The sequence below is a fragment of the Homo sapiens genome, chromosome X (genome assembly GCF_000001405.40).
Source record: "Homo sapiens chromosome X, GRCh38.p14 Primary Assembly".
Taxonomy (NCBI): Eukaryota; Metazoa; Chordata; class Mammalia; order Primates; family Hominidae; genus Homo; species Homo sapiens.
In genome coordinates this window covers 153,687,855-153,700,491 of record NC_000023.11, presented here as the reverse complement: position 1 = coordinate 153,700,491, position 12,637 = coordinate 153,687,855, and the positions used below count along the sequence as shown (strand labels likewise).

The 12,637-nt window shown below is 63.1% G+C and overlaps 1 protein-coding gene across 3 annotated transcripts; it reads right to left on the bottom strand.

The window, feature by feature from the left end:
* On the bottom strand, nt 3,899-12,566 carry SLC6A8 (solute carrier family 6 member 8). 3 transcript variants are annotated; one of them, NM_001142806.1, is made up of 13 exons: nt 10,893-10,981; nt 9,986-10,117; nt 8,939-9,188; nt 8,385-8,517; nt 7,317-7,451; nt 7,126-7,229; nt 6,906-7,030; nt 6,475-6,587; nt 6,225-6,362; nt 6,046-6,148; nt 5,859-5,959; nt 5,603-5,773; nt 3,899-5,418 (listed from the first exon to the last, which is right to left on the bottom strand). In NM_001142806.1, exons 2-13 carry the CDS (start codon nt 10,032-10,034, stop codon nt 5,278-5,280), a joined length of 1,563 nt encoding a protein of 520 aa, NP_001136278.1. In that variant the 5' UTR covers nt 10,035-10,117; nt 10,893-10,981; the 3' UTR covers nt 3,899-5,277. The 3 variants fall into 3 exon arrangements, with proteins under 3 accessions (NP_001136278.1, NP_005620.1, NP_001136277.1); NM_005629.4 differs by lacking the exon at nt 10,893-10,981 and adding an exon at nt 11,656-12,566 and having other exon boundaries at nt 3,904-5,418; NM_001142805.2 differs by lacking the exon at nt 10,893-10,981 and adding an exon at nt 11,656-12,566 and having other exon boundaries at nt 3,904-5,418; nt 6,906-7,000.

Here is a 12,637-nt window from a genome sequence, read left to right as displayed (position 1 = left end):
TGCGGTGTGTGACTGCAGCTGTGGGGAGGGCTCTGCTTTCTCTCCTGCCTGGAGCCCCCAAGCGGCCACAGCCCTTCAACCTGTTTCCCCCACTGAAGGCCAGGCTCACACCTGTTCTCGAAGGCCTTGCCCTCTCTGTCCTCCTGCTCCCCGGGCTGGGCCAGGCCTCGCTTCAGGGCCACCCGCCGAGTGTGTGTCCTGTCTGCCTCCCTGGGTGTGGGCAGCTTGGGAGGCTCAGTAAACCGGCGGGGCTTCCGGGTAGAGGACTCGCTTGCCTTCTCTGGGTTCCTGTTCGTCACATTTGGGACAGACAGAACGTGGCAGAACGCCACTAGTCACTCCCTGCCCCCCCCCCCGAAGGTTTGCAGGATGACCTCTGACTAATGCCAGCTGGGAGAGGAGACTTGTCCTTGGCAGTGACCTGGAGCTGGCCCAGGGCAGAGCTAGGCAGAAAGGGGCTGGGAATGGGCTGGGGCCCTTGGCCCTGAGAACGTGCTGGGTGTGTGCCTGCCACCAGAGCGCTGTGCTGGCTCCAGGGTGTCCCTCCCGTGGCTCCCTCAGAGCTGTGTCTTCCAGGCCCACAGCAAGCCAGGCCAGTACCGGGGCTTCCTGCCTGGCACCAGTGCCCAGGCCCCTGCACTGTGCTACTCTCCAGTAGCACATGAGGAAGGCAGCCCCCGCCCGCAGCACAGTGCTTCCACCCTGCAGGGCCTCTGCCATGCCTGGTGTCTGCATGAGGACTGGGCGGAAGGGTCAGGGGAGCAGGTTAGAGGTGTGTCTCCTGGAACTGGGGGGACCCCTGAAGGATGTTGATGCTGGCAGGGTAGCTGACGGCCTGCTGTGCATGCTCGCTTCTGCCTGCCCTGTCCGGGCCCAGGCCAGTGGTTCCCTTCTCTAGCATCCTGTCGCCCTTCCCTTGTGCTCAGAGCACAGCCGCCTCATGACGAGTTCTGTCCCTTTCCAGGCGGTCTGAGAGGTGGTGTCTGAGGGAGTAGGGGACACGTGGGCGATACCCTCTGGTTGCTGTGCCAAGGCCGAAGGCTGATCCCACTTTTCCAGGAAGTGCTCTCAGCTACCTTGGACCTCCCTGAGCTCACCCTTCTCTGAGCTTTGAAAGGCTAAAGTCCAAACGGGTGCTTCCCTCACCAGCCCTGATGGCTTCTTCCGCTGTTCTGCCTAGGCCAGCAGCAGACAGAAAGCTGCACGAGGCCAGCTTCTGGAGCGCCCTTTCTAGTGGAGTGATGGAACAACAACGGGGCAGGGGGTGTGGGCACAGGCTCTTAGAGATGAAAATTGAGGTGCTTGCCCAGCCTAGACTGGAGGGCGGCCTGCAGGCTCGCGCCTTCCTGGATCAGCTTCTGTTCCAGGGCATCTGCACCCGTGGGCGTCCTGATCTGTTTTCTTACCCATCTTCCACTAGACTGCGAGCTGCTTGAGGGCAAAGCCTGCTGCTTGTTGATCTCTGTGTCCTAACCCCTGATGCAGGAGCTAAGTCCTGAGGAAATGGTGTCTCTATTTCAGGACCCTCTTTAAGTGACAGGCCTCTGTGAAGTTTCCTTTTTTCAATGTCTTTTTTCTGTGTGTTTAGTGTCATCGTGGTGCATGAGGTGGCTTGGAGGGCATTTGGCCTGGAGGTGCGGAGAACAATTAGCAGAGGGTGATTGTCATCCAGGCAGAGACTTGGCTGACAGTGTATAAAGCAGTTGGCCTGAGCTCAGGGGTCCTGAGGGTGACTGTGGGCTGCAGGACAGTTGGAGTCGGTTGGGGACAGGGGCTGTGTGAGGGCCTGGGGCACCCTGGGGAGAGGTCTTGCTGATGTTGGGAAGCACCTTTGCAGCTAAGGAGGGCCAGGCCGGAGATGTGGGAGCTGCCAGCAGGCGGGGTTCTTGAAGGCGCAGGCATGGTGAGAGGACAGGCTTCTCAGGGAGAAAAAGAAAACTGGAAACAGCGGTTGCTGAAGAGATGGGGGCCAGGGACTGCAGGACAGGCTCCAGAGCCCCTGGCTGAGCTAGGGTGGGACTGCACTGCCACTCCTTTCTCTGCTCCCTGTCTGGTCCGTGTATTTCTCACCCAGGCTCTTGGTTGGCCGTATTCCAAGCCAGGTCCCTCCCCTGGCTCCAGAAGTTTAGGGGTAAAGCCCCTCCATAGGGGGTGCTGCCTGCTGAGGAGCAGGGCCTCTGGGGGTTCTCCCATAGCACGATAGCAGTCCTGGGCAGGACGCAAAGGGAGCAGCCCAAGCTGTCACTTTGCTCTGAGGGGTCACCTGCTCCCCCTTCACAGGCTCCAATCTCTGATGCTCTCTGTGCTTGCCTGAGCCGCCCACTGCATTGCCTGCTGTGCCCTGCCATGGTGCCCAGCCCTTTGAGGGTGGGGTGCCACATGCTCATCTTGTGCACGGGGTCCCGCCCGTTGAAGGACCTGTCTGTACTCAGTGTCTCCAATTCCTCTCCACCTCTTCTCATGGTAAAACGCATATATATCATACATATATATAGTGTCATCAGTGTATATGTAATGAGCCATTTTCACCATCGTTAAATGTGCAATTCAGTGGCATTAAGTGCAGTCACAGTGTTGCGCAGCCACCACTTCCATCCACCTCTAGAATTTATTTTCTCAAACTGACACTCTGTCCCCACTCAACACTCCCCACCCTGTCCCCAGCCCCTGGCACCCACCCTTGCCCTCTGTCTCTGTGGATCTCCCTCCTCTCATGTAAGGCCCTGTCTCTCTCACAGGAGCAGAACCCTATAGCAAGTATCCCTTTATGATGGCTCATTTCACAGAAATGCCCTCCAGGGTCAGCCATGTTGTGTCGTGTGTTGGAATGCCTTCCCTTTCCAGGCTGGCTCATATTTCCTTGTCTGGGTGAACTACGTTGTTGTCTCTCCCTTCGTCTGCAGATGACACTGCGCTGCCGCCACTCCTTTTCTCAGTCGCACACCACCCAGCCTTTCACACGCACCCGCTCATGCAAGCCACCCTCGCCAGGCCCCCGTGACCCTTGCCAGACTCAGTGAGCATTTGCAGGTCACTGTCCTTCACCAGCAGCAGCACTGGACAGATGGAGCCAGCCACTGCTCCTCCCTGACCTGTGAGGGGTCCTCACTGGCTCAGGTTGCAGGACCCCACCAGGAACTCTCAGGCGTCCTCCCCTATCACTGCCACGTCTTCGCTCTGCCCCTCTCATTGTGTTCCGGGGCTTGCGGCGTCCCTGTGAGCTCACTCAGGCTCAGGGCTTTCAGTGTCATCTCTATGTGGTAAGAACTTGCACAGTTCCATCTCCAGTACTTTCTGGAACTCCTGTGTCCACCTGCCAACTAGACATCTCCACTTGGATGACACTTCCTGCATGACACACCCAAGGCTGACTCCAGACCATTCTCTCCTTGCCTCCCCATTGCAGGACCTGGCAGCTCCATCTTTCCTCTTGCTCAGGCCAAATCTGTTGTCCTTAACTCCTCTTTGAGCCCTGCATCCTGGTCATGCACAACCCCTATTGGCTCCACCTTCAAAATTGATCCCTGATGCAGAGTTATCCCCTCTGCTGCTACCAGCCTGGCCCAAGTGACACAAGGCACCTGTTCAGTGACAAATTCTTGGGGTAACATTTTGAAAATTTCAGCACCCATGGCTTTACGCCCACCCTTCCCCGCGGGTGTGGCTGCTCTCCAGCTCACTCTCGTCCTGCTCTCCCCAACTGCCTCGGCTCCAGGGGGACAAGGCCTTCCCCTGGGCTGCTGCCTTCCCTGCCCCCTTCCCAGTCCCCAGAAGGGTGCCGGCCGCAGAGGCCTCCAGAGCAGAGCCTTGCTCACGGCAGCAGCTCCAGCTGGAGGAGGTTCCCCCTGCCTCCTGTACCCCGACCCCTTCCTTAGAGCAGCAGAGGCGGAAGCAGGAGCCTGCTTTGGAAAATGACATGTTTTTATTGCTATGTCTGCAGTGGCTTTTTAGCACAGTAGAATGTCCCCGCAGGCCCGCCACCCTCACCCAGCCCCAGCCCTGCAGCCTCTGTCTGGGTGTCGGGGAAGCCTTTCTTGGGGTCACTCAGCCGTCTCGGGACTGGACGTGACAGACAAACGTGGGTTAAAGCTGCTACACAGAAGACTGGAGGTGCGGGAAGTGCATCCACCTTAAGCCTGGACGTGGGAGCCGTGTCCAGGGTCCCTTCCTGGGGGTGTGCCCCGCACAGGGTGGGAAGCCTGAGCAGGCCAGGTTAGCAGCCCAGACACCCAGGACGGAATATTGCAGCCTCTTGCCCCACAGACTTGTGGCAAAGGGACAGCGTGGGGACAGCCCCGAGGCCCCCACCATGCACTTTTCCAATCCAGTCTGGGGCTGGGGACCACACACGCACATCCACACAACAGACTCACACACGCAACAGCTCGAAGCTTTTGTTTTGCCTATGAAAGTTAGATCTATAAATTCACACTCCTTGGCTAGGGGCAGAGGGGTAAGGTAGGGCTCACAGGGATGGGAGTGGTAAGGAGAGGATGGTTTGGGCTCCTTCCTCTTTTTAGAAATATACAAGCAGAAATCTCATTCTCTCAAGTTTTTATAAAATGTGCAAAATACAAGCCTCCTTTGCCCAGAGGCGCCATTTACATCTGGCATTCACCTTTGCTAAGAGATAGAGATCTATATATACTCTCCGTACTCACGCACGCGTGCACTCGCACCCAAGCTCACACAATTGATACTGGTGGCGATTGGCGCAGGAACCAGAAGGTTCCATTGCTGGCTGGCTCTCTAAGCTTCTATAACAGGGATGGGGAGAGGGGTATAGCCCAGCTGAAATATTTGCCTTGGTTCTGCTGCCCCTCCCCTGCCTCCCTTCTCCTCTCTCTCCTCCCTCCCGTCTCTCCCTCCTTCCCTTCCTCACATTTCCCAAGCTGCCACTGCTGCTTCTGGGGTGAGGGGTCACCCACGGGTGTGCTGCAGAGCAGAGCCTGGAGAGGTGGGCAGGGGGTGGGCGTGGCAGGGGCAGGAGGAGTGCAGCACTGTGGGTGGGGGTGGGGCACTAGGCGGGGCCTAGGACCAGCTCGGCTAGGGCTGGAGGGGGAGAGGCATCTATTTTTGGTGGGTTGTGATATTTTTGGCGTTTTATTAAAAATGGAAAAAGTTGTTTTAGTGAGCACTCATGGTGCTTTCTCCCCTCCTCCCCCAGGCAGACCCCAAAAGTGTCAGGGAAAGGCAGGCCCCCTGGAGGGGTGCGGTGGGGCTGAAGCAGGGGCTGCTATGGCTACCAGAGGTGAGCTGGTGATGTGAGCTGAGTTGTCACATGACACTCTCCACCACGACGACCTTGCTGCTCTCGGACACTGGGGTCAGGGTGGTCAGGCCCCTGACATCTGCGTCCTGAGCTCGGTACTCCAAGTGGTGGAGGCCCCAGATGGGCTGGGTCAGGTGCTGCCAGCGCTGCAGGAGAGGAGGACATGCTGAAGCCCCCAGGGTCACCTGCTCGTCCCCACGGTGACTTCCTCTGCCTCTCTCCGGTTCCCACTGCCTGCCACCCTAGTCGGGGCCACTCCCTGGCTAGGAAGCAGGCTGGGTTGAATGTTCACAGCAGGGGAGGGGAGGGCGGGCCGGGCGGGAGCCTTACCTCAGCCATGGTGCCCTTGGCCCTGAGGAGGCAGCCCAGGAGGTGCAGCGGCACGCACAGCATGGAGGACAGGGCGAAGGCCCAGCCCATGGCCTCACCCCACCACGGGTACACGTAGGTGTTGTTGTAGACCAGCGGCTCGTAGTACACAACGTTGAAGATGAAGATGCCCTACGGACCAGAATGCTGCGGTTAATGGGGCCCCTACCCCGCCCTGCCTCGCCCCCCGCCCTGCCCCACCTCCCCCAGCCCTTACCATGCAGACCAGCGGGGTGAAGAAGGACCAGCACCATTTCATCCAGGGGCAAGGTCGGTACCCGATCATACAGGCAATGTCGTCCATGAAGCGGTCAGCTCCTGCGGCGAGGTGAGGCGGGAGGGCCAAGCTGGAGACCTGCCTTCCCCGCCACCATCCCCCAGCCCAGCCCTCAGCCATGACCTACCGTACACCCAGGCCACCACCACGCACTCCCAAAAGGCCTGCCAGAGCAGGGTGGTGCCGCTGGCCGAGTAGTAGTCAAACAGCTGGAAGACGTACATCCCGCCCTGGGGGACAGAGCCCAGTCAGGGAGGATGGCAGACGGCCACCAGAGGTCACAGGCAGACCCCCCACCCCACTCACATCAGTCACCATGGAGAGATCGATGACAAAGCAGAGGGCACAACAGAGGGCCACAGAGATCTCCCTTTGGAAACGGAAGTAGTAGGAGGCCGGGAGGAGGTCGAGGAGGCCGGTGATGAAGCCCTCCACACCTACAAACTGTGGCCAGGGCAGCTCAGGCCGAGCCCCGCACCGCCCTCCACCCCTTTCCTTGCCTGCAGCCCTCCCTCCGCCCCCCTCCTGGCTCCCTGTCCCAGAGCCCCATGCAAACCTGGCTGTCGAGACCAAGCAGCAACAGCATGAAGAAGAACAGGGCAGCCCAGAGTGGGGCCACTGGCATCAGCGTGACAGCCCGCGGGTAGGCGATGAAGGCCAGGCCCGGCCCTGTGGGAAAGGTGCAGGCTCTAGACCTTGTAGCCGATGTCCTGCCCTGTGCGCACCCTGAGCCCTGCCTGCAACACTCGCGCCCATGCCCACGCCTGCCTCAGAGGCGCTGTCAACCCTGGGTCGTGCGGCAGGGGCTGGGAGGTCCTTTCTCTGTCAACATTGACAAATCCCAGGACCTGCCCCCACAGGCCCACAATCTGACAAGTTCCGTTTGAATCCTCGTCACTTTTCAGCATTTCTATTGCATGTTCCTGTACATCATGCATCTGGGTAGCACTCGCTGCTCTGGAGGCGGGGCTGGGGGTAGGGCCCTACCTGACTCTGCCACCTTGGAGATGTGCACGCCCTGCTCTGCAGCCATGAAGCCCAGGATGGAGAAGACCACGAAGCCAGCAAAGAAGCTGGTCCCACTGTTGATGAGAGCCAGGATGATGGCGTCCCTGAGGGGTGGAGGGGCCAGAGTGGATGGGTTAGGCTGCTGGGCAGGGCGGGGCAGGGCAGGACAGGGCACGGGTGGCAGGGCGGCGGTGCTTACTTGTAGCAGTTGTTGTTGAAGCGGTTGTAGCTGCCCAGGGCTGTGAGGGCCCCCAGGCCAATGGCGTAAGAAAAGAAAATCTGGGTCCCCGCATCTATCCACACCTAGAGAAGGGCCGGAGAGCGCAGGCATGAGGGGCCTGCAGGGCTCCCCCGCAGCGCCCTGCTGCAGCCTCTCCACCTCCACCTCACCTGAGGGGACCCCAGCTTTGACCAGTCAGGCTTGAGATAGTAAATGATGCCATCCAGGGCGCCAGGCAGCAGCACTCCACGCACCAGCAGCACGACCAGGACCACGTAGGGGAATGTAGCAGTGAAGTACACGATCTGGGGGGCCAGGCTGCTCAGCGGAGGCTGTGGCACCACCTCCCTCACACCCCCACTCCCAGCGCCTCCGGTCCCCCTTGCGGGCAGGTATGTTCAGAGGTCCCCATTGTCCTCCGAGCCATGGCTCCCGCCAGAGGAAGCTAGGGGCAAGGCTGCGCCCCGGCAGCCCTGGCCAAGTGCAGTGGGGAAGCTCCCTGGGCGCCTCGTTTGTCTGCAGGGACGCGTGTCGGTGGGGAGCAGGCGAGCCTCTGGGAGCTCTCCTCAGTGGGGACAGGAGGCGTGGAGCACGTGGGGAGTGAGAGCTGTATGAGTGTGTGGGCAGTGCAGGTGTGGGAGGCCCAGGCAGGGAGCGGGATATTGGATCCGGGTCGGGTCCCCCTCCTCTTCTGGAGAGAGGTGGGGGTTGAGCAGGTGGAGAGTGGAACTGGGCCAGGCAGAGGCAGGCGAGATGCAGCTGCCACACTGTCTGCCCCCTCTTCCCACATGCTGCTCTGGGGACCTTGTCCCCCAGGGAGCTGGCCATGTCCCACAGCTCTAGACACTGTCTTCTTTGTTCAGGTGACTCCCCAGCCTGACCAGGAGCCCCCAAGGGATGTGGCCAGACTCTGCTCTGGGTCCCCAAGGCAAGATAGGTAACAGATGGCCAGACCAGGTCCACCAGACTGTCACAAGAGTCAGAGACTGGCAGGAGGGCACCAGTGGGGGTGATGGGCACAGGGAAGGGACAGTGCCTGCCAGGGCCTCTATCCCCAGGAGCAAAGGCTGCTGGGCCCTGGATTTGCAGGGTGGGGAGCATTGCTTGGCTTTCAGTACCTCCCCCTTCCTTAGGGCTAGACTCTGTCTGGTCACCTCCCGTTGCCACAGGTGTGCCTGGCACAGACATCCGGCTCCCAGGGCTGAGCCACCCTCCCCGCTGCATGCCTCTAGTGGTACCTTTCCCGTGGATTTGACCCCCTTCCAGACACAGAAGTAGACCAGCACCCAGCAGGCCAGCAGACAAAGGGTCACCTCCCAGTTGAGGGCCCCTGGCACCTCCAGTCCCCCAGACAGCCTCAAGACTTTGTTCCTAGGGGAGGGAGGGAGGTCCCATGAGGCCTGTGCCAGCAGAGGATGGAGCCACAGGGTCCACCCCCAGGAGTTGTGGCTCCCTTCTCTCCCACAGCCCAGGGTTCAGCGGGTCCCTCTTGTCCAATTGGGCTGGGCCTGGAGCCCACGATCCCCTGGCCATTGGGAGGCCACTCCCATCCCACCTCACATGCAGCCCCAGCTCCCCCATCAGGGGGGAGTGACCAGGACAGTGATCGGCTGCCGAACCCAGGAGCGAGGCTGGCCCCAGGACTCTCCGAGGACAGGCAAGGGCAGGCAGGGTCCAGGATGGACTGCCAGGCAACACCCTGGTGCCCCCTCAGGGCCACTCCCCTGGAGCCGGGCAACATGAGGGAGACCTGGGGGATGGGATGGGCTTGGCCCAGAGGTGCCGGACTCACTCCCAGAACTCGATGACAGGGGACCGGCGGTCAGCAAGCTGGTCACAGGTGAGGTTGGCCAGGCTGGCATTGGCACAGTCTTCATGGCGGAAGATCTCCACGCAGTCGGGAGTGTTCCAGGTGTGGCCACATGTGGCCCAGGGCAGCGTGGTGGTAAAGGACTTGACCAGGTAATAGAAGCCCCAGGCCAGCACCATGATGTAGTAGGTGTTGCAGTAGAAGACGATCACCATGGAGGCGTAGCCCAGGCCTGGGGCCGGGAAGTCCTTGCCATGTAGATTCTTCCCTGGCCACCTCCCCCTGCCACCCCTTTATGTCCCCACCCAGGCTGGCCGTGCTCCCACCATCTGTCCTCCTGGAGCCTTGTTTGTGGTGCTCCTGACTCCCCTGGGCTCCCCCTTGTGTGAGCCCCAACACTGCGCTGACTCCCCAGCCTGTCTCCTCTCCTCCAGCCGCCCCCTAGACCCAAGGCAGAGCGAGCCCCTCTCCTCCTGTCCCCATCTGACCAAGTGCTGTGGAGTCTCCAGCCTCATACACCTGGCCCCTTCTGTGGGTCCCACTGCCACCATGGCGGTTCCAGGAGGTCCAAGCCTCTGCCTGGCCACCCAGTAGCCTCCAGTCCTCAGCAGCTGGTGTTGATGGTGGTGGTGGGGGGGGGGGGTTTCTAGTCGCCTGAGGTAGTGTTGGAGACAGTCGCCCCTGCAGTGGGCAACCTCAGTACGTCGCTCCACCTGTCTGTGCCCCAGCGTCCTTGGGGATAGTAACAGTAGGACCTACCTAGAGAGCCAAGGGTGCTGCTGGGCAGGTCCCGTCCCCAGCCCGGCTATGCCTGGCCTGTCCTTGCCTTGTGGAGCTGCCTATGCCCCCTCTAGTCCCCGCTTCCCCAAGTTCGCTGTGCGGCCTGAACATCTCCTCCAGGCTCCCCCCTCGAGACTGGGACGCCATCACGTGGCCCCAGGCCTGGTGCTCACGACAGGAAAAGATTTCTCAAGTGGGAGCCAGCTGGGAGAAGGGGGCAGTCCCTGAGGCTGGCCAAGGGCTGCTCACCTTTGAACAGGGGACAGATGTTCCAGACATTGATGCTGCCGGCCTTCATGAACTGGCCCAGCGAGATCTCTAAGAAGAAAATGGGGATTCCTCCAACCAGGGCGATCAGGACGTAGGGAATAAGGAACACACCTGGGGGTGGAGGCACAGCGTGGACTCAGGGTGGCCCCCAGCCAGGCTGCCCAGGCCCAGCGGGCCAGCCCAGACTCCAAAGGCCCCATCACAACTTCCGACTGGGTGAGTCAGTGTAGGGGTGGCCACTGACTCAGGCCCCAGGTGGAGTCTTGAGGGGGTGGGTTGAGTGTGTTGAAGAGGGGCTACAGTAGCCCCTGAGCCATTGGAGCCCTATTCCCTGGGTGGCAGAGGGGCCCTAGGCCCCCAGGGCTTCCACCCCCACGGTCACTTGGGGCGATGGCCATGGAGGACACACACGCTCAGACACGCGGGCTGTCCCTAGTGCTGCAATTCCCTGTTTCAGGCAGCACAGTGAGGGCACGTGCATGTGTGCATGTGTGCCAAGGCTGGGTGATCAGGCCTGGGGGGCTCATCCAAAGGCAGGGAGCGCGACTGTCCTGCCCTTGGACGCTTGCCTGCAAGTGTGAGGTCTAAGGCAGAGGGTGGGTGGGTCACAGTCCCCTGCTGGTGGGATGGCGATGTGCAAGGACAGAGGGATACAGGTGCGGAAGAGGGGCCAGGCCGGCCTTAGCAAGGCCAGGGAGTCAGGCTCTGCAGGAGATAGGCAGGGCGTGACACAGGCCTATCTCCTGAGGCCAGCAGGCTGGGGTGGGGGTGGCAGAAGGGCAGGGAGAGCTGGGTGCCACTACCCCCTTCTCCTCTCTGGGCCTCCTACCCTTGCCCTGGCTGGGCTCGCTCCACTACTCAGAGGCTGAGCTTGGCTGCAACTTGCCTGACTCCAGGTCCCAGCATCCTTCTCCTGACCTTGGGCAAAGGCCTTTGCTCTGGACCTCTGTTTCCCACCCATCACCGGGTCACTTCGGCTTCCAGCAACCCCAGTGCTGTTTTGTAGTCACAGGACACACGCGTGCCCATCGCTGTTGCTAAGCTGGGCCCGGGCGGGCGGGCGGGCGGGCGGGCATGGGACGTGCATGCAGTGTGTCCAGTGGCGGCGCCAGGCGGGCCAGGCCGCAGGCTTCCCAAGCCTGGCTCGGGCACCCAGTGTTCCAGGCCCGGGCCAGAGGGGAGGGGCGGGAGGGCCGCGAGGGGAGGGGAGGGCAGGGGGAGGGACAGAGTGGCCCATTGTGTGTGTGTGTGTTCGTGTGTGTGCACACGTGGGGGGCCCACACAATGTGCCGCTTGTGTGCCCGACCCGTGGGGGCAGCCAGGGCTCCTTACCTCGCGGAGACCCCAAGGCGCAGGCCTGCTTTCCCACCTCGGCGGCCAATCGCTCCTCCCAGCCCGGGAGTCTGGGGGGCAGCCTCGCGGGCATCGCCGGCCCCCTCCCCCCACCATGCCAGGCACATGACTGCGAGGGGGGTGGAGGCGCCCGGCCCGGCCACCGAGCGGCAGCGGCGGACGAGGGGCGGCCCCGACCCCCGCGTGCCCGGGGGCCACCCGTTGCCCGGACTTCACCCCTCCGCGGCGGCTCCGGGGGTCGGGCGGGGGCCGGCGGCCTGCTGGGGGAGGAGGCCGCGGCGGGCGGGGGAACTCACCTCCGCCGTTCTTGTAGCACAGGTAGGGGAAGCGCCACACGTTGCCCAAGCCCACGGCGAAGCCCACGCACGACATGATGAAGTCCATCTGGCGCGTCCAGGTCTCGCGCGGCGGCACGGCCAGGCGGCCGCCGGGTGTCCCCAGGCCCACGGGGCCGTCGCCCTTGGCCGGGGCCCCGTCGGGCCCGGGCGCGATGAGGGGGCCCTTCTTCTCGTCGCCGGACACGCTATAGATGCCGTTCTCGGCGCTCTTCTTCGCCATGGCCTCGGCGGGCCGCACGGCCGGGCCGGGGTCGCGGCGCCTCACGGGGGGCGGCGGTCAGGCGGGGGGCACCGGCGGCACCGGGGAGGGCCCCGAGGGCGCGGGCCGGCCGGGGGCCGGGGGGCGGCCGGGCCGGGGGACGGGGCGGCGGGCGGGCGGCGGGGTGCGGGGCGCGGGCGGCGCAGTCAGAAGCAGTCCACGAAGCACTTGAAAGTGAGCCTGAAGAATCTCATGTGTGTCGGGGGCCCGGGGGCGCGCGGGCGGCGGCGGGGCCCGGCCGGGCGGCGGCGGCGGCGGCGGCGGCTCCCGAGGCTCCTGCCCGCGGCTCGGGCGGCGGCGGCTGCGGCGGCTCCTCGCCCGACCCGAGGCTCAGCCTAGCGGGGCGCGGGCGACATCGGCGCCCGCGGTCTGCAAGCGGCGGCCGGAGCAGGGGCCTGTGGCCCGCGCCCCCCGCCCCGGCCGGGGCCCGCGGAGGCTGCCCGGCTGGCCCGCGACTCCGGTGGCGGTGGTGGCGGCGGCGGCGGTGGCGGCGGCGGCGGCGGCTCGGGCGCGCCTCGCCCTCTCCTTCCCGGCGGCGGCGGCTGCAGCCGCTCTCGGGGCCGCGGCGGGCTCAGCGACTCGCCACCTCGCTCCGACTATCCCTCTCTTCCCCGTCCCCGGCCGGCCGCCGCTTAAAAACCGACTCCGGGGTGATGTCACTATCGCCCCACCCCCACGGCC

What these genes read in the sequence shown, in the direction of transcription:
- SLC6A8 (NM_005629.4), bottom strand. Translation starts at nt 11,917, where the DNA reads ATGGCGAAGAAGAGCGCCGAGAACGGCATCTATAGCGTGTCCGGCGAC. An exon ending in GGGTCAAATCCACGGGAAAG is followed by an intron (nt 7,452 to 8,384) that starts GTACCACTAGAG and finishes CTGGCCCCCCAG; the next exon opens with ATCGTGTACTTCACTGCTAC. An exon ending in TCACCCCGCTGGTCTGCATG is followed by an intron (nt 5,774 to 5,858) that starts GTAAGGGCTGGG and finishes TCTGGTCCGTAG; the next exon opens with GGCATCTTCATCTTCAACGT.